This window comes from Homo sapiens, chromosome 18 (assembly GCF_000001405.40).
Source record: "Homo sapiens chromosome 18, GRCh38.p14 Primary Assembly".
NCBI lineage: Eukaryota > Metazoa > Chordata > Mammalia > Primates > Hominidae > Homo > Homo sapiens.
The window spans coordinates 23,887,035-23,905,940 of record NC_000018.10 but is presented as its reverse complement, the minus strand read 5'-3'; the positions used below and the strand labels follow the sequence as shown (position 1 = coordinate 23,905,940).

General features: G+C 40.6%; 1 protein-coding gene across 15 annotated transcripts in view; it reads right to left on the bottom strand.

Annotated features, from left to right (window-relative positions):
• Positions 1-18,906, bottom strand: part of LAMA3 (laminin subunit alpha 3) — a 265,614-nt gene that overhangs the window by 49,126 nt on the left and 197,582 nt on the right. For 13 of the 15 annotated variants that reach the window (XM_011525978.3, XM_011525982.3, XM_011525980.3 and 10 more), the window contains 11 exons: positions 15,824-15,930; positions 11,593-11,643; positions 10,883-11,034; positions 7,093-7,203; positions 6,876-6,987; positions 6,486-6,653; positions 4,618-4,814; positions 2,816-2,932; positions 1,854-2,008; positions 1,247-1,388; positions 317-419 (listed from right to left, as the gene is read on the bottom strand). In XM_011525978.3, coding sequence (XP_011524280.1) covers positions 317-419; positions 1,247-1,388; positions 1,854-2,008; positions 2,816-2,932; positions 4,618-4,814; positions 6,486-6,653; positions 6,876-6,987; positions 7,093-7,203; positions 10,883-11,034; positions 11,593-11,643; positions 15,824-15,930 — 1,415 coding nt within the window. The remainder of the gene's footprint in view (positions 1-316; positions 420-1,246; positions 1,389-1,853; positions 2,009-2,815; positions 2,933-4,617; positions 4,815-6,485; positions 6,654-6,875; positions 6,988-7,092; positions 7,204-10,882; positions 11,035-11,592; positions 11,644-15,823; positions 15,931-18,906) is intronic. The other 2 variants (NM_001127717.4, NM_001127718.4) reach the window with 1 other exon arrangement.

Here is an 18,906-nt window from a genome sequence, read left to right as displayed (position 1 = left end):
ATACAAAAATTAGCTGGGCATGGTGGTGCACGCCTGTAATCTCAGCTACTTGGGAGGCTGAAGTGGGAGGATAGCTTAAGCCCAGGAGTTCAAAGCTACAGTGAGCTATGATTGTGCCACTGCACTCCAGCCTGGGCAACGGAGACCCCATCTCTATTAAAAATAATAATAGTAATAAAATAAAATAAATAAAGGGTATCATCTGCATTGACACTGAGATTCAAAAACAACATTTGCTTCTAGGGCTGCCCCACCTGGTCCCAGAGGTCATTTAAAGCTCCTGACTATCCCTGCCATTGCCCACTCCCCCTAATACCTTGCTTTAGCTTCTTTTGTGTCATCTTGGCTTCATTTAACAGTTTATCACTGTTGGAACTCAGGGTTTTAGCTTTTCTTGGCAGATCTTCCTTTATCACTGTCTGAAAGCAAAGCATTTAACAGCCTTAAACAAATGCTATATGTTACGAAATATGGAATAAGATTTCTATCCTAGTCTGAAGCCCTTAATTTTAAGGATGAAGTTCAAAGGGGGAAGGAGTTATAACTAGATTGTTCCCTAAAAGAGTTAGGGCTCCAGGTAGCCCTAACACCTATGTGAATTATGTGGCTTGGGGAGGTGGGCCTATCTCTGGTGGCATACTGACAAATTATGTGACACTTGTTTTAGCTGCTCACTGTCATTCGTACAAAAACCTCTACAATAACAGAGGAGAGAACTTAGTTGTTTTCAGGCTTTCAAGCTTTGGGACAGAAAAGTCTTCACTCATTCAAGAAGGCCTGTCCCCCTGAACTCTGATATTTAATATTTTGTTCTTTATTTTCAGATATAGGAATTATCATATGGTGCATATAAGATCCCACAGGACTCCACAGACACACCGAGATGTAAGACCAAATGACCTGATGAAAATGCTGATCAAGTTGTTTGCAAAAATATCTCTTTTTGGCTAATGATCACAGCATAGAAGCATACCTGGTAAGATATAGGATATAATATTTGTTCAGGTTGAAAATTGACAATCAGTGTAATTTCTATCTGGTTTTACACATAGTTTTAAAACTGTGCTACAGACATGAAATAGTCAAATACAGAAATTACCCATATCTAGGGCAAGTTCTATTCTATACAACAAGTTCTGATTTAAAATAATGCTTTGTTTCTATTCCTTGGAGCCCACGGAAAGAAAATATAAAAATCAGCCATCTCCACAGCGAATGTGGAGAAGCTGCTGGTACAGGTGCCCACCTGGAGGGCAGATTCAGATGCACTGGCAGCCCTGTTGGCTGCGTCCTCGGCCGCTTTGATGGCATTGAGGATGTTCTCGTAGGCGGTGGCGGCATCCACAGCACAGCGCACCAGCTCATCCCCGCTGGCGTTTCTCTTGATCCTGGAAGACAGGGCAGGTTAGCCACTCCCCACAGCCTTCCTCTGCCAGCAGCTGACATCCCCCCAAACCTTTCCATTTCTTCTTTTTATTTTTTCTTTCTTTTTTTTTTTTAAGAAATGGAAAAAAACAAAATAAAATAAAGAGATGGCAGAGTCTCTCTCTGTCTGCCAGGTTTGACTGCAGTGGTGCCATCAACTTGAGCCCAGCCTCTTCGCATTTCATTTGGTAAGTGGATACCTGAGGTGATGGCCTCTGTAGCTGTGCCCAAAGGACGTGGCCAGGAATTAGTGCCCTTATTGCTGCTCTGCTTCTGACTTGGGCCTGGGGCATTGGCCTTGACCCCACCCTCCGCCCTCCACCCAGTTCTGGAGACCCAGCCAACCCAGGGGAGGGCCTTGCTTGTCTCAGGACAAGCTGCTGAGCTCAGCCCACGTGCCCTTCTGGTCTCCTGGGCCATGCACTCACTCTTCCAGCTGCTTTGCCAGCTCTTGTAAGGACCGCGCGTGCTTTTCTGCCTCCTCCACAAGGGATGTTTTGCCAGCAGATCTGGAAAGTTCTCTTACTTTGTCACTTAGTTCTTGTCTTGCTTCATTTAAACTGGCAGCTAATTTTTCATATTCCTATTTTTTCCAAATAAACAAAGACAGTATAAATTCAAGGAAAGAATGTAGGTGCTGATTTCTCAAACTCTATCATAACTGATGTGTTTCTGGGGCAACAATGAGATGTTATATTTTCTAAGCCTATTTACCATACCAGTTAATCCTTGGTCACTTCAGACAGTAGCACTGGTAATATTTCCCCAAGGTTTACCACTATCTTGAACATTCTCATTATGGTGAGAAACCCTTTAGTAACCTTTACAAAAGCACAATGTTATCATCAATATAAAGTTGTAGTAAACCAAAGAACTTTTTTATGATTTAGAAATAGTTATTAAAGAGTTACTGGGTGCAGCACACCAACATGGCACATGTATACATATGTAACTAACCTGCACGTTATGCACATGTACCCTAAAACTTAAAGTATAATAAAAAAAAGAAATAGTTATTATAAAAGACACTTTAAAATCCCCATTGAACTGCTAAAAAATTGTGTCAGTTTTGATCAAGTCTTAAATATCTTCTGTTAATAAATGCTTGTATGCTTGATATTTTAAAAATAGCATTATAATTTTTTTGTTGCTATCACAAAAGTGATTTGCTCATTGCGGACAAATTAGGTAATACATATGAACATAAGAAGACATGTCATTCATACTTCTTTTGCAAGAGAGAACTATTGTTAACATTTCATTATATTCTCTTCCATCTAAGAGACTATACTTTGAATAAACAAAAAAGTAGGTCAGCCCATTTCATTGTTTTCTCACAATATAATTAAAATGTTTTTAGATTTTTCTAGAGAACAACTATTTCCTCTACCTTCTGGCTTTTCTCCATCAGCTGCAGCGCAATGTTGGTTTGCAACAAAGATGAGTCTGCAGTGGTTAGATACTTGGTGAAATCACTCTGCAGGGAATTTATTTCTTTCACTTGTCTCTGGAGAAAATAAAAAAAAATTGCTTGAGCTCTATGATATATTATCAGAAGGCATAGACAAATTTATGGGACAATAGCATATACGTAATTTCAAAGTCAGAATGCTTTCTTGAACCTGAACATTGTCTAGGCAATTACAAAGTGATAGGAAATCAGTTCTTTTTGTAGTGGAGGTACGTCACCATAGTTTCCTTAAATGATATGCCAATGAAACAATTGCTATCACTGCTGAAGAAGGTTTCTACAGTAGGGGTCAACTTGCCCAATGAGATGGGTATATTATCAAAATCTGGTTTGTGAAACAGACCAAAAGATTTTATGTAAATAAACCATCACTAACCATCAGCCAGTACCAATGAGAACACAGCAGGCACTTGACCGAGAGGTCACACGGAACCTGAGAATGCCAGGCTGGAAGGCTGCCAGAGTTCAGAGGCCTATAAAGTTGGGTCTGCTCCCTTACCTTGGCATAATCAGCAACTTCACACAGACATGGTACTATCCAAAGAGGCTTTGGGAGCTAAGCATGGAGTCATCCACTAAGACATCATTTATTTTCATTTGCCAACTTCCTCCTGTGTTGGGGTCTGCCCTGTGTTATTCAATTTTGATTTTACTGTTGTTTTGTAACCCTATAAAACCGCTCATATTTTTGTTGTTTTTAATTTTTTTTTTGAGACAGGTCTCATTCTGTTGCCTAGGCTGAAGTGCAGTGGCTCGATAATGGCTCACTGCAGCCTTGCTCCCAACCCACCAGTGTGTTCAAGCGATCCTTCCACCTCAGCCTCCCGAGTAGCTGAGACTACAGGCTCATGCCACTATGACCAGCTAATTTTTAAAAAAATTTTTGTAGAGACAGGGTCTCACTACATTGCCGAGGCTGGTCTCAAACTCCTGGGCCCAAGCAATCCTCTTGCCTTGGCCTCTCAAAGTGTTAGGATTACAGGCATAAGCCATTGCACCTGGCCTCATTGTTTTAGCATACAATGTTCACTATTTAAAATATGAACTATAAGGCCGGGCATGGTGGCTCACGCCTGTAATCCCATCACTTTGGGAGGCTGAGGCGAGTGGATCACCTGAGGTCAGGAGTTCGAGACCAGCCTAGCCAACATGGTGAAACCCCGTCTCTACTAAAAATACAAAAATTAGCCAGGCGTGGTGGCGCCAAATATATGTATATATGAACTGCAAAATCCAGAGCTCTAAATTCTGTCATTGCAGCTTCTGTAGGTGGCCTGTACTTTTATTTCCTATAAAGCAGATTATGGCTTAAAATGCCTTTGCTGGTGATTATGATAATTATGTTCATTAAAAAGTATACATATTTGACACAAAAAGTAAATTACCAAAAACATAATATATACTTTGAATTAATTATAGCAATATTAATTTCTCATCTATTTGGCAACATTATTCCTCCAACACTCTTTCAGCTGGGGATGCAGGTGAAGCAGTTTGCACTGCTTTGTCTGTGGTTTAAGTTCAGAATCTTTTCTGGTAGCTGAAGACTAGAAACAACTATGGTTTTGCACTTAACGCTTTGTTCCTGTCTGATCTGGGTCTGAGGTGGTATAATGAGATGTACAGACAGGTGCCTGGCTATGCCACTTTATTAATAATAAAGATCCCTGCTTCTCTCATCCTTATTAACGAAAGTGTGCAACTTCAAACTGTGAACTCACCTGAATGGCTCCCAAAGCTCTCTCGTTTTCTTGGTTCAAGCCATTTGCCTGCTTGGCTTGGGCAGCTGCCTCCTGCAGCCGAGCACGAAGGTCACTGAGTTTGGCTTCGTATTCATTTAAAGAATCCCGGATACTGTTAGCAAGCCCATTGTTCTCCCCCTGGTGGGTTTTCTGCCAGGTCCTTATCCGGTTCAGCACTGTAATACATCACCTCATGTTTTCTATTTGACAGATGAGCATACTGAAGCTGGGTTATAAAAACTACAAAGGGAGAATCGAGTTTCTACTCATTTCATGGTTTTCCTTGAACTTTGGAGGGGATGGGAAAGGAAACTCACATTGACACAGACCTGCTATGTGCACTGTACATGTTGCCTCATTTAACTTCCACAGGAAAACAATAAATTATCATTCTCATGTTTTAGATAAAGAGATGGAAGCCTTGAGAAATGAGAGGACTGACCCAAGGTTACATGGCCAGTCGGGCTTAGGACTTGAACTTGAGCTGGCTGCAGGGGGTAAAGTGCATGCTCCTTCCACTGTGAATACTGCCTACTTACAATTAAAAGCCAAGACTCATATTAAATTTGAACAATAAAAATTTAAGCAAGAAAACTGCTAGTATCTGTATATTAACCACTGATACATCATTTTATTAAAGAATAAATACCAGTATCTGTAAAAAGTATGCACTAAACTAATATTTCTCAGTTTTGAACTAACGAGGCATTTTCTCTAGTCAAAACCTTTTGATGTATTCTGTTAATTTCTAGTATATCCTTTTTTTGTTTTTGTAATACAAATTTGAACATCCCTAATCTAAAAAGCCAAAATCTGAAATGCTTCAAAATCTGACATTTTTGAGCAATGACATGATGCCACAAATAGAAAATTCCACATCTGACCTCATGTGACAGGTTGCAGTCAAAATGCAGTCAAAAGTTCATTTCAGAGGCTGGGTGCGGTGGCTCACGCCTGTAATCTCAGCACACTGGGAGACCAAGGCAGGCGTATTGCTTGATGTCAGGAGTTTGAGACCAGCCTGGCCAAAATGGTAAAACCCTGTCTCTACTAAAAATATAAAAATTAGCCAGGCATGGTGGCAGGCACCTGTAATCCCAGCTATTGCTCAGTCTGAGGCATGAGAACCGCTTGAACTCAGGAGGTGAAGGTTGCAGTGAGTTGAGATCACACTACTGCACTCCAGCCTGAGTAATGGAGTGAGACTCTGTCACATACACACACACACACACGCACACACACACAAAGTTCATTTCATGCACAGAATTATTAAAAATATTGTATAAAATTACCTTCGATATATGTGTATAAGATGTAAATGAAACGTAAATAAATTTTATGTTTAGACTGGGGTCCCATCTCCAAGAGGTCTCATTAAGTCTATGCAAATATTCCAAAATCCAAAAAAATCAAAAATCTGAAACACGTCTGGTCCCAAGCATTTTGGAAAGGGAAACTCAATCTGTAGTAGTGCTAATATCAATTTGTGATTCAAAAATTCAGTAGTGGTGAGGTGACCATTAATAATGATGTAATGAGAAAACTGGAAAGAGGTGAATAAGCATCAGAAAAATGCAGTTAAGAAGGAAAAAGAGGCAACCATATCTAACTTTTAGAAGAACTTTTTTTTTTTCTTTGCATGATGGTAAGCTGTTATATTCTACAGCCCGTTGGTAACCTGGGACTCCTGGGGGCTACCAATTTTCACCACGTGATGCTCTAACAGTAATATTCGCTGAAACCATGAGGCCTTCCACCTATAACGGGGAACTCTACATTGCACTCTGCACGTTGTGTTTCAAATCAATTAGAATGGACTGGATGCAAGAATTTGGGAGCATTCTTACAGAGCTGCGACTCCCTTTTATCAGCTTCTGCTTCTCTGAGGTGCTTTCCAAAGTTCCTGTTCCGCAGTTCCCTCATCATGCGCTGGGCTTCAGCCCACTCTCTGGAAAAGTCACCTGAAGGCACGTTGTTTCCCTCTCCATCTGTCCCAGAGATCTGCTTTAAAAGAACTAGGAAACATCAAGTGGTCTATTAGACTGGGAATTCTGGGCTCCAGTAGGCTACTTAAAAAAAAAAAAAGGTAGAAACTTCTATGGAGATTTTATATTAGTTTTTTAGTATCACTATGGGATTCTTTTCATAATGTTGAAATCTTAAAGGGAATTCTTTTAGTGTACAATGAAGGTTATGTAACCAAAAAAAATGTAATTGGGCTTAATAACTCTTCTTACTGTGCACATTCCGGATGACATTTTTAATCTTCACATCCAGTTCTTTTGCGCTTTGTGTTGCCCGATTAACATTGTTGTTTAATGTTTGTGCTTTTCTGGAATTTACTTGAGCCTATATGAAAAATAAATTGATTAGCAGCAAATTAAGTCAATAAGGAAAAATAAAAATACTTTGAAAGCAAAAAAACCCCAAAGTTAAATGGACCTAACACATTACCTTTTCTTGCAAAGTCTCAAATTCTTGATTCAAATCAGTCAGTTCTCTTTCCAGGCCTTCTATTTTTGATCCATGATTTGAAATGGCAGAACGGTAGTTGAGCAACTGATTCTGGAAACAAAACACAAATGAATGTCACTTTACAGTATAAAGACTAAGTCCTATCAACCTGGTCAACAGGGTTATAAATGAAGAATCATTTGGCAAGACCATTTTCAGTTCCACACACACACAAATGTGGTTCTTGGAAATAGGTTACATAAGGAATCTATTTTCTGATGTACATTGTGATATGGCTCTAAAATAAAGTAGCAAATGTGACAAATGTGAAGAGATAAGAGCTACTTCACTTGAATTAATGACCTAACCTTATAGAAATGAGGGTGATACTACTTACCTGATTAATTTCCAGATTCTATAATAAATACAGTTTTTTAAAAACCTGCAGTTAACCTGACAACACTAAAAGCAGTGCATATGGCTACTTGAATGAAGGAATCATTAAGAATCTATTCAAAGAATCTCGTCCAACAGAACCACAGGGAACTCAGAGCTCTTGTAGCTGAACAGCCTCATATTGCAACTGAGAAAATGGAAGCCCAAAGAAGTCGGGTGACTTGTCCACGGTTGTATAGCTCATCGGTGATTGCTTCAGGACCATAATCCGGGTCCCTTGCCCTTTTTTTAGGCTAAATTGCCTCATTACTCTTAGACCCTTAGACACTACTGCACGTAATATCTAGAATGGTGATTATTTTCCATTTTTTGGAAAAAGTATTAATATATTGAAAAAGTTTATAGGAAAAAATGATATTATTACCTCAATATGTATGTCAGAACCAGTGTTGGGTAAAAGAATACAGGCTTTAAATAAAGCCTAGGTCCAAACCCTTAGTCTGCCACATGATAGATGAGCCTCACTAAGCCTTGCTCTTCCATTAGTAAATTGGGGATTATCGTATTTAGCTGCAGGGTTGGTTTTGGTGATAAGCGAGCTAATGTATTGTAAAATGTCATGTACATATGAGCATTCAAAAATGTTACTTCCCTTCTTATACGTAATCTTTCTTAATTTTCGCATGTTTGTGTGATACAGCAAGAAGATAGTTCTATTTTAACTTTACTTTGGGGAAAGGGAGGCAAGTCATTATATAGATTGTCAGCAGAACACCTGGATAAGAAGTGGAGTGGGTAAAGCATGGTCTTTAGAATTTGATCTTGATTTGAATTCTTCCAGAACCACCATGATTCTAGGCAAGTTTCTCAGCTTCTCCATGCCTGTTTAATGAGAACAACACTAGGTTCCTCATGAGGAGGTTGTGAGACTTGAGTAAAGCCCTTAGCACAGGGTGTGGCAAACAGCGTGTGTGCAGAATGGTGAAGGCTGCAGGGCCATGTTGATGAAATCCAAGCAAGCCAGTGGCTTCCTTTTTTTTCCCCTCAAGACATAAATGCTTTTCCCTCCTCTTCTCCATATTAAGCCTATAAACCTTGGACTAAAGTTATGCAAAAGGATAGGAAAGAGTCATTTTTCTAGAATAATCTTTTGCTATATATACTCAGCTATAGTCACTAGAATCAGCCCTCAACCCAAAAGTACTTATTAAACTTTCCCCAAAGCCTTGTTCACTGTGTCTAGACTAGAGCTGATCTCATCTACTGAATTCTTTTACTTCAATGAGTGTATTTTTTCATTTCCATGATTTTCAATTGGGTCTTTTCCTATCTACCTCTTCTTGTTTGATTTCTGGAGGTTTCCCCCTCAAATTTCCTAATTTCTTGTTCCTTCTATTGGGTGTCATTCTGCAAAGTCATTTTCAGATTGTCCTGTTGTTTTCATTTTATCCGAAGTGAACTCATCTCTTGACTGTTGCTTCTGTTGGGTGTCTTTCTTATTACTTCTCTGCTAACAATGTTTGCAGGCTCTTTCTGGGTGGGAGTTCCCCTTTCTTTGTGCTCTCTGGGCCCTGTCTAGTGCTCTTATGCTTATCACCACCCCTACTCGAACCTCCAACCCACGGTCTAGGACCAGGTCTTACTTTGGCAGTTTAGGATTTATATACCATAGTGGCGTTGAGAGTATGTAACATTCCAGCATAGATCCAGGTCTGTAGATTTGTCCTGCCCCTGTAAGCTTTGCTAGGCTCTCATGTGGCCATCACCCAACGATGAGCATTGGGCAGCTTCCAGGCTGCTTTTTAGCCCCCATTCATGGGCACAGCATCCCCTATTTCCCCTCAGGGAAATAGGTTCTATTACTTCTTAGGATACCCTCTCAGCCATATTCCATCTAAGTATACATACAGCATTCACCCAAATGGACCACATTCTGAGCAATGAAACAAACCTCAACACATTTAAAAGGACTGAAATCATGGAAAGCGTGTTCTCTGACCATGAAAGAGTTAAATTAGAAACCAGTAACACAAAGTTATCTGGAAAATCCCCCAATTTGGATATTAAACAACACATTTCTTTTTTGTTTTTGTTTTTTGTTTTTGCTTTTGTTTTTTGAGATGGAGTCTCGCTGTGTCACCCAGGCTGGAGTGCAGTGGCACCATCTCAGCTCACTGCAACCTCTGCCTCTGGGGTTCAAGTGATTCTCCTGCCTCAGCCTCCCAAGTAGCTGGGACTACAGGCATGTGCCATCATGCCTGGCTAATTTTTGTATTTTTAGTAGAGTTGGAGTTTCACCATGTTGGCCAGGCTGGTCTCCAAGTCCTGGGCTCAAGTGATCTACCCGCCTCGGCCTCCCAAAGCGCTGGGATTACAGGCATGAGCCACCATGCCTGGTCAACACATTTCTAAATAACACATGGGTTACAGATACGTCACAAGGAAAATCAGAAAATCCATTGAACTGAATGAGAATGAAAACATAACATTGCAAGGTGTGTGGGATACAGCTAAAGCAGTGCTTAGTGATAAAACTGATAGGATTATATGCCTACGTTAGAATCAAGAAAGATTTTGAATCAGTAAAATAAGCTTAGGAAACCAGAAAATGAATAGCAAGTTTCACCCAAAGCAAGCACAAGGAAGGAAAAAAAAAGGATAAGAACAGAAATCAATGAAATTGAAAATAGATAAACAATGGATAAAATCAATGAAATAAAAGGATCAACAACATTGGTAATACTCTAGCCAAAATAAGAGAAAGAGATAAGTCATAAATTATCATTATCAGAAAATGAATAAGAAGGCATCTTTATAGACTTTGCAGATGTACAAAGGATAATAAGGGAACATTATGAACAATTTTATGTCAATATATTTGGTAATTTAGATGAAATTGACATATTATTTGAAAGGTGCAAATGACCAAGTATCACTCAAGAAGAAACACATAGCCCAAATACTGTAGTCTCATACCTATTCTTTGAAAATTAAATTCATGGCTTATTTTCAAAAACCACAACTTCCAACAAAGAAAATTCCAGGCTCACATGGCTTCACTGGAAAAATTCTATCCAACATTTAAAGAAGAGTTAATACCAACTTAACACAAACCTGTGTTTGAGTCTTCTGAATGCAAGATACTGAAATAAAGGCTCGATGAGAAAAACTCACCTGGAAATGTTCAGTAAGTATTGTTCACCCAGATGTGCTAGTTTTGTGTGTTCACAAAAATGATTTTCCACCAGGAAAAGTCTTATCTTCATTTGGATCAGAGGAAGGAGGACAACCCCTGAGCCTTTCCAGGAGTCAACCTTTCCCTTCCTGCTTATGGAGAATCCACTCCCGCAGCATCTCCTCCCCACGTGTCTACTCTCGGCCGCAGGGGATTTACCCTCAGGTCCTTGGCCTGGGTCTCCATGTGCCTCATCTGCTCCAGAAGCCCTGCGCTGGCACTCAGGCCCTGCAGCTGAGACTTGACCAGGCGGAGCTGCTCGCCCATGGTGGCCAGGTCGTTCAGGAGGGTCATCACACAGCTGTCGCAATCTGTAGGGGCCACAATCAAAGGCAAATGTGCTGTGGGGGGAGCCGTGGGACTGCGAAAAGACCACAAGTGCTATGCAGCCCAGTTGGCATGCACGCAGATCGTCACGGGTGACAACCACAGCCCTGGCCTTCTCAGGGATGGATGTGGATTCTGAAAAAAGGAGAGCCCTGTGCACAGGGAGCATTTTAGAAATGGAGATTCCATGCAACTGGTTGCTTACTTTACACATAAGGAAAATAATAATAGCCTTCATCTATGGGATGCTTGCAATTTACCAGGCATTGTGATAAGACATTTACAAGCACTTCCCTAATATCCCTATAAGGTAGGTCTAGTTATCATGTTAACTTAGCAAATGATGAAACTGAGGCTTGGAGAAGCAGGGTCCCCTGCTGAAGGTCATACAGAGAGAAGCTGATTTGACCCTAAGTAGTCCTTCCACCTCCTCCCACCCTTACTTTCCCAGACTGGAAACTGCATGACCCAGCATGGTGCTCACATATCTTAAACCAAACCCCACAACTTGGAAAGGAGGAGGAGGGGCTTTCTTTTCTCACCATCACATTCTTCTGCAGGGCTGCTATCTTTGGGTTCTTGGTTTATGCAGTCTAAAATCAGAAAATAACCAAAGAAGACATAGTTATTAAACTTACTTTTCATCTGCTCTTTAACTTGGTTTTCAGAAAAGCTAGTTTTGCAAAGTTTTATTAGTTTGGTGCAAAAGTAATTGTGGTTTTCACCATTTTAAGTAATGGCAAAACCCACAATTACTTTTGCACCAACCTAATAGACACCCAACTACCCAGCATCGCTAGCTCTTCCTTTTCCCTCCCTCACCCATGCCAGTGCCCAGGAAGCCTTCTCATCTCCCAGCAGGCTCGCTGCAGGAACTGCTTTTGTGGCCTCCCTGTTATATATTCAATTCCTTCACTACAAAGGTCAACTCTATAAAGGGCCATGTTTTCTTATCAAATCAAACGTCTCGATCATTCGCATTAGGGCTTTCTTCATTGAAGAGCCTCTTGTATGTTCATGCTGCTTCTGGCATCATTCAAGAACATTGTGCAAACATTCACTGAGCACCTTTGAGCATTTACAGTGTAACAGAGCCCCATGCTAGCTGCTGGAAATACAAAGATATCAAGACAAAATCCCTGCTGCTCTGTGACTTAACAGTCCCATGAAACACGGGGGGCAGACAAGTTACAAAACAGTGTGACAGATGTGGTGATAGTGATGGGCATACAATGTCAGTGGGCCCACACCACCAACTACAGCACATATAAGCTGAGTTTTTGTTTTTGTTTTTTTTGGCCGGTGGGGAGGGGGGAGTCTCACTCTCTCACCCAGGTTGGACTGCAGTGGTGCGATGTCAGCTCACTGCAATCTCTGCCTCCCAGATTCAACCGATTCTCCTGCCTCAGCCTCCCAAGTAGCTGGGACTACAGGCGCGCACCACCATGCCTGGCTAATTTTTGTATTTTTAGTAGAGACGGGGTTTCACCATATTGGCCGGGCTGGATAAGCTGAGTTTTGAGGTTCTCAGCTACAGTAAAGCCTGCTGGTCAACCCTGGGCATTCTTGACCCCTTCCACATGTACTGTTTTCCCCATGCCATGCATTCTGACATTGACATGTCCTCTCACTTCCCCCTGAACAAACTATCTACCTTCACAACAGCAAAACTCTATGCTTAACATTTTCCTGGACAAGCTACAAGAGGCTTTCACATCTGTTATTCTCACCAGCCAATAATATTCCACACTTTGTGTGTATATACAGACATTTTAAACCACATTTACTTTTAATTGTAAAAAATAATATAAATTAATTATGGAAAATATGGGGAAGTCAGAAAAATGAAATAAAAGCATCATCCTTGATCCTGCCACTCAAAGACAATGTTCCCTTTATAAATATTTATATACATTTTAATTTATTATATATAATCATGGGTTCCTTTTTAAAAAAAGCCTTACTTGCTTTTTTTTTTTTTTTTTTTGAGACAGAGTTTCGCTCTTGTCACCCAAGCTGGAGTGCAGTGGTGCTATCTCAGCTCACTGCAACCTCTGCCTCCTGGGTTCAAGCGATTCTCCTGCCTCAGCCTCCCAAGTAGCTGAGATTACAGGCATCTGCCACCACACCCAGCTAATTTTTGTATTTTTAGTAGAGACAGGGTTTCCCCATGTTGGCCAGGCTGGTCTCAAACTCCTGACCTCAGGTGATCCACCCACCTCAGCCTCCCAAAGTGCTGGGATTACAGGCATGAGCCACCATGCCCGGCCATTTGCTCTTATATGTATATATTGTGATACTTCTATTTCCTCAGTTAGCCTGTAAATGGCTTCTGGCCAGCAAGCATGGTCTTGTTTCCTTGACAATTTTCAACAGCAGCCTGAATAGTTTATGGGGGACTAGGCTTCTCTGGATGATTGATTTATTAGTGGAATTTTCCTAACAAGCTTGCATTTTGACCACCAAGGAATGTGTCCCTTATTAGTTGAAGAAAAAAAAAAAGAATAAAAAACAACAACAACAAAACTCTAACAGGAATAAGCAAGTCTCATACATAAGCATTTTCTTCCATTTTGGGAACAAATAGTTACTATCCTCATTTCATGTTGCTGATTTTTGTTACTGGCGTGGGGGAAATGAGGGTTGCAGAGGCATTAGTCTGGCGAGTAAGCTGTGCGTGATGTTGAAGCTTCTTGAATACCTCCAGTGACAGGAGAAATTGCCTCCTTTTAAAGCAATCTGTTTCATCTTTAAGCATTAGACACTTCTTCCTTAGAATCATTTAAAATAGAGCTTCCTCTTGCTTCTACTCTTTGCTCTAAGTTCTGTCCCTTATGTCTCAGAGAACAATACCAACCCTTTCCCACACGCCAGCCTAACAAACATGTCCTTTCCAGCTCTTCCTTTCACTGCCCTGGTCAATCCTTCCTCGTGTGACACAGTTCCACATCCCTTCAGAGTCTTACTCTCTTTCTGAACAACTATAGCTCTTCTATTGTCTTCTAAAGATGTAACTAACTCTCACGTGAGGACTTACATGAGCAGTGTGCCATGGACCCCGGCTTTAGACAATGGAACTCAGTGAAGACAGTACGAGCTATCTTAGGGGCCACACCACACTCTAACCTACCCTGCACTGACTGCTGATGACAACCTTAAGCTTTTTTACACCTCCTGCTACTAAGCCAGTTACCACTTATCACATAGCTAAAGGTTTATTTATTTTTTCCACTCAACTACAGGACCACACCCTTATCCTTAACATCATTTTGTCTGGTTGAATTGGCCCATCATTCTAGACTGTTGAGGCCCTTCTGAATTCTTAATGTCATGGGAGGCACTTACTATTGGAGAAGACCAGGGAATTTCACCCCAAAATATGGCACCCTGGTGGGCTGATTATTTTAAATTGAAGGCCCTTGGAGACCAGCAGATGCCGGAAAAAACTTTACTCTGATACCCACTTATCTTCCCAACATTCAGACTTGCCAAAAATGAAAACAAACTACTTCTGGTTTCCTCCATGAGTTTTCATTAATTTAACTCATATTTCAGGGAGAAAGACTGAAGTCTGTCAACACACCTGGACAGACTCTTGTCACAAACCATTGTCTGTTCTGTGGGCCCAAAAGATTTTGTCCCAGGCCTCACTATATGTTCTCTGAGTCCACTGAGTCAGCCTAAAAATCATTTACCATTCCCCTTAAAATCATCCACATTTCCGCATCTCTCTTTCCCCTAAGAAGAAGGGTACATAAGCATCTGTGCCCCACTGGGTTATTGGGTAATCATTGTCCTGTGATTCTCCTGTGTTACACACATTAAAATAAAATTGTGTACGCCTTTTCTCCTATTAATCTGCCTTTTGTCCACTGATTTTCTGTAAACCTTCTGTAGGTGAAGGGGAAGTTTTCCCTTGGTCCCTTTACTGTTCTTCCCAACTTTGTGTCATCTGATAAATGGGTAGGCATGCTTTCTATATTTCCATCCAAATAAAAAATGTGGAGCCAAGGATGAAGTCCTGAGGCATGACAATAAATACCCCATTCTAGACTGGCATTAATCCATTTACTCTGCATTCCTTTGGGGATAGTCACTTGACCAGCTGGAATCCACATATCCAGGGTTTAGTTCTTCAACTTGTCCATAAATATAAGATGAAAGATTTTATCTAAGTGTTTGGTGTCACACTACATCAATAGCATTTTCCTGATTAATCCTATTAATATTCTGTCAAAGAAGGAAGAGGATAGTCTTCCTTTTTGTTCCAAGTTGCTCCTAATAAACCATACTAACTTCTGCTAATTATCTTTTTCTTGGTGTATAAAATCCACCCCAATTACCCACCCACATCCCAGAACATGTACTGCTGTAAGATAAAGAGTATTTCAATTTCTTCAGACACACACGGGAAAGCTGATGAGACAATAACCCTACAATATCAAAGGGAGATCTCAGCAAAATCACCAAAGTAGGATCTGAAGTTATTTTGGTTATAATTAGGTAAGTTTCAAAAACAATTCACTTTTTAAAAAAAAAAAGTGCATTGAAACAGGTTATTCACCAAAGCTGAAAATACTATCTAAGCATTCCCAGGTTTGTCAAAACAAGGGGACAGCTTGCTGGCTGGAATTGTGTATTATGCATCCTGGGGACAGCTTGCTGGCTGGAATTGTGTATTATGCATCCTGAAGATGTGTGCTTGGGTTCTTAGGCTGTTAAGTTATACCAGCTTTATAAATGCAAGTTAGCAGGGGTGTGGGTCGGCCTTACCTCCAGTCAGGGGATGACAGCTGCCCAGCTGGCCATTGCTGTTACAACTGCATGGTTGGCAGCTACCTCCGAATTTCTGGGGATTCCCGAAATATCCCGGTGCACACCTACACAAAATATAGAGAGGAGGAGAAACACCCAAATAACTCATCGTTTATCTCAACCAATTTTCTCAATCTCTAGCTCTCTGTTTGGGATATTGTAACCCAATGGGTGGAAGACCGACATAGATCTGCAAGAATGAATATTTCTCAATACAGAGGTATTTACCCCTTGAATTGTCTCACAGAAATAAATCTGAAGTAAGATCCATGTAATTTCCAATTTTTTGAATGAGGGAGGAGTTTCTTAATATTTCCTATTGCATTATTTCTTCCTTCCTTTCCTTCCTTTCTTCCTTCCTTCCTCCCTTCCTCCCTCCCTTCCTTCCTTCCTTCCTTCCTCCCTCCCCCCTCCCTCCTCCCTTCCCTTCCTCTTCTCTTCTTTTCTTTTTTCCTTTCCTTTCCTTTTTCTTTCTTTCTTTATTTCTCTCTTTTCTTTCTTTCTTTCTTTTCTTTCTTGACAGTCTTACTCTGTTCTCCAGGCTGGAGTACAATGGCACAATCACAGCTCACTGCAACCTCGAACTTCTGCACTCAAGCAATCCTTCTGTCTCAGCCTCCCAAGAAACTCAGACCACAGGTGCATGCCACCATTTCTGGCTAATTTTTTAATTTTTAGTAGAGATGAGGTCTTGCTATATTGCCCAGACTGGTCTTGAACTTCTGGGCTCAAGCAATCCTTCTGCCTCAGCCTCCCAAAAAACTGGAACTACAGGTGCATGCCACCAGGCCTGGTTAATTTTTTAATATTTAGCAGAGATAAGGTCTTGCTATGTTGCCCAGGCTGGTCTTGAACTCCTGGGCTCAAGTGATCCTCCTGCCTCAGTATCTAAAGTGCTGGGATTACAGGCATGAACCACTGCACCTGGCCTGCACTATGTCAAGTCTGCATAATTCATATTTGCACTAATTGCTGCCGTGCTGTATATAATGACTCTTAAACAACTGAGAGCAGTTACAGCTGCTACCTTTGGCCCTGAGCCTTTTTTATTCTAGATAGTATAGTAATGAGAACTCATTACTGGTTTACAAGTTTAAAGATCACATTTCCTTGATTCTTTGATTTTTTTTTTTTTTTAAAGTCAAATAAGCACATATTCATGCTCCTGGAGTTGGGATGTCAATTACAATATTTCCATTAATAAAGTTCCACTCCCCATCCAGTCACCCCCAAATTGTCATTAAACTGATGTGTGGTGTCTTATCATCAATTGACTTGATAGACTCAAGGGAATATGGTATTTACCTCATTTCCCCAAATTTAAGCACTGCATCAAAAAAAATTAGGCAATTCCAATACACGTTACCATGTACTTCCAATATACTTCACCAATGTATTACCATGGATACACTGTTGATATAATGTAAAGGATCAGTAAGATCTGGCTGGACTCCTATCTCTACTACTTACTAGTGTGATCTTGGGCTGTTGCTGTAACCCTCTGTGCTTCAGTTTCTTTACCGGTCCCCCCCACAGCCCCCATGAAAATATAAGCTCCATGAAGATGTGGAGTTTTGGGCTGTTTTGCTCACTGATATATCCCTACGGTCACCTGGCACATATTCATTCATTTGTTGAATGAATAAGTGAGTGGACTAATAATACCTATTTTGCTCAGTGAATATGAGATAATGTAATAAAGAATCTAGCGTAATATCTGCACATAACAGACAATGAAGGGTAGCTATCGTAATAAGACATGACAAAATATTCATCTTCTAATTGGCATCATTTGAAATTATTACAAGAAAGCAGAAGGCCCATGTATCCCCTAATAATCCAGAAGGTAACTAGGCTGAGGTGGCCTATTTAAGTCTACTAAGCAGGGTGGTCATATACTAATAATAGGGCTTTACTTTGTGACTGGCTTGGTATTCTACCTAACAGATCATGTTATGCAGAAGCTCTGTGTTCTAGAATACTTTATTTTTGATGTCTTTCTTACCTACATCTAAACTTCCCATGTAATAGATGCATAATTACAAAGTACCTTATATTTAAATCACAGAAATATTCAGGAAGTTCGATTCTACTTCTTCCTTACTCTTGCAAAGCATTACTTACTGGTTATAAGAAATAACTGGTTCTCTTATTCTCAATTTATGGCAGTGGCTAAACCCAAAGGACTGAAGTAAAACCTCCTGATTTCACGAATGACATTGGTACAACAAATAAAGAGCAGAAAATAGGCTTGTCTTGTGTGGCCCTGTGTGTCTGAGGGAGAAGAGGGGTAAGAGCATGCATGGGCTGGAAAGCCTTTGCGAAACCCTCCCCACAGCTGGCCACTCTGGCTTCTATCCAGCTAGTCTCCTGCATAATCTATATTCCTGCTTTTCACCCTTGACTGTCCTTGTGTTTATCATTGTGTAGTTAATCACTAGTGCCAGGAATGATGTCTGGGTGCTGTGTCTAACAAATGAAAAATGTTGACATAAAATGGCATTTATCCATGAAAAAGCTTCAAAAAATTTTTTAAAGAAATAATAGCTTGTTTTCTTGAGACATCAGATATAACAAACATCAGCTGAGAGAAGTACTGTTAATTAAAAATTTTGCCTGCCAAATGGATGTCTCACCGAGCCTGTTGCTGTTTAATGCTTCATTGTTTGTGAAGAGCCATAAAGAGGATGAAATTAGGACGCCTCTCCCAGGTGTTGGTCCCCTGTGGCTTTTAAACCTCAGAGCCTAGAATCCTTTCCCACTCCCCACATCCTTCCCTTCTCGCTGGTTGGATATACCTCCTAATTGCAGCTCAACTTAGCCCAGTTCTCCCATCTCTCGCTATTTTAATGGCATGTTTTGATGTCTGTCCACCACTGGACTGGAAAGCCCTTGAGGACACTGTCTGTGCTGTTTGTTAATGTGCCTCCAGTACTTAGCACTGTGCCAGACATATATATACTAGGACCTCCATACATTTTTCATTGAAAGAATAACTGAATAAGTGTAAGGCAAGTGTGAGAAATGCTCCTTTTGCTGAA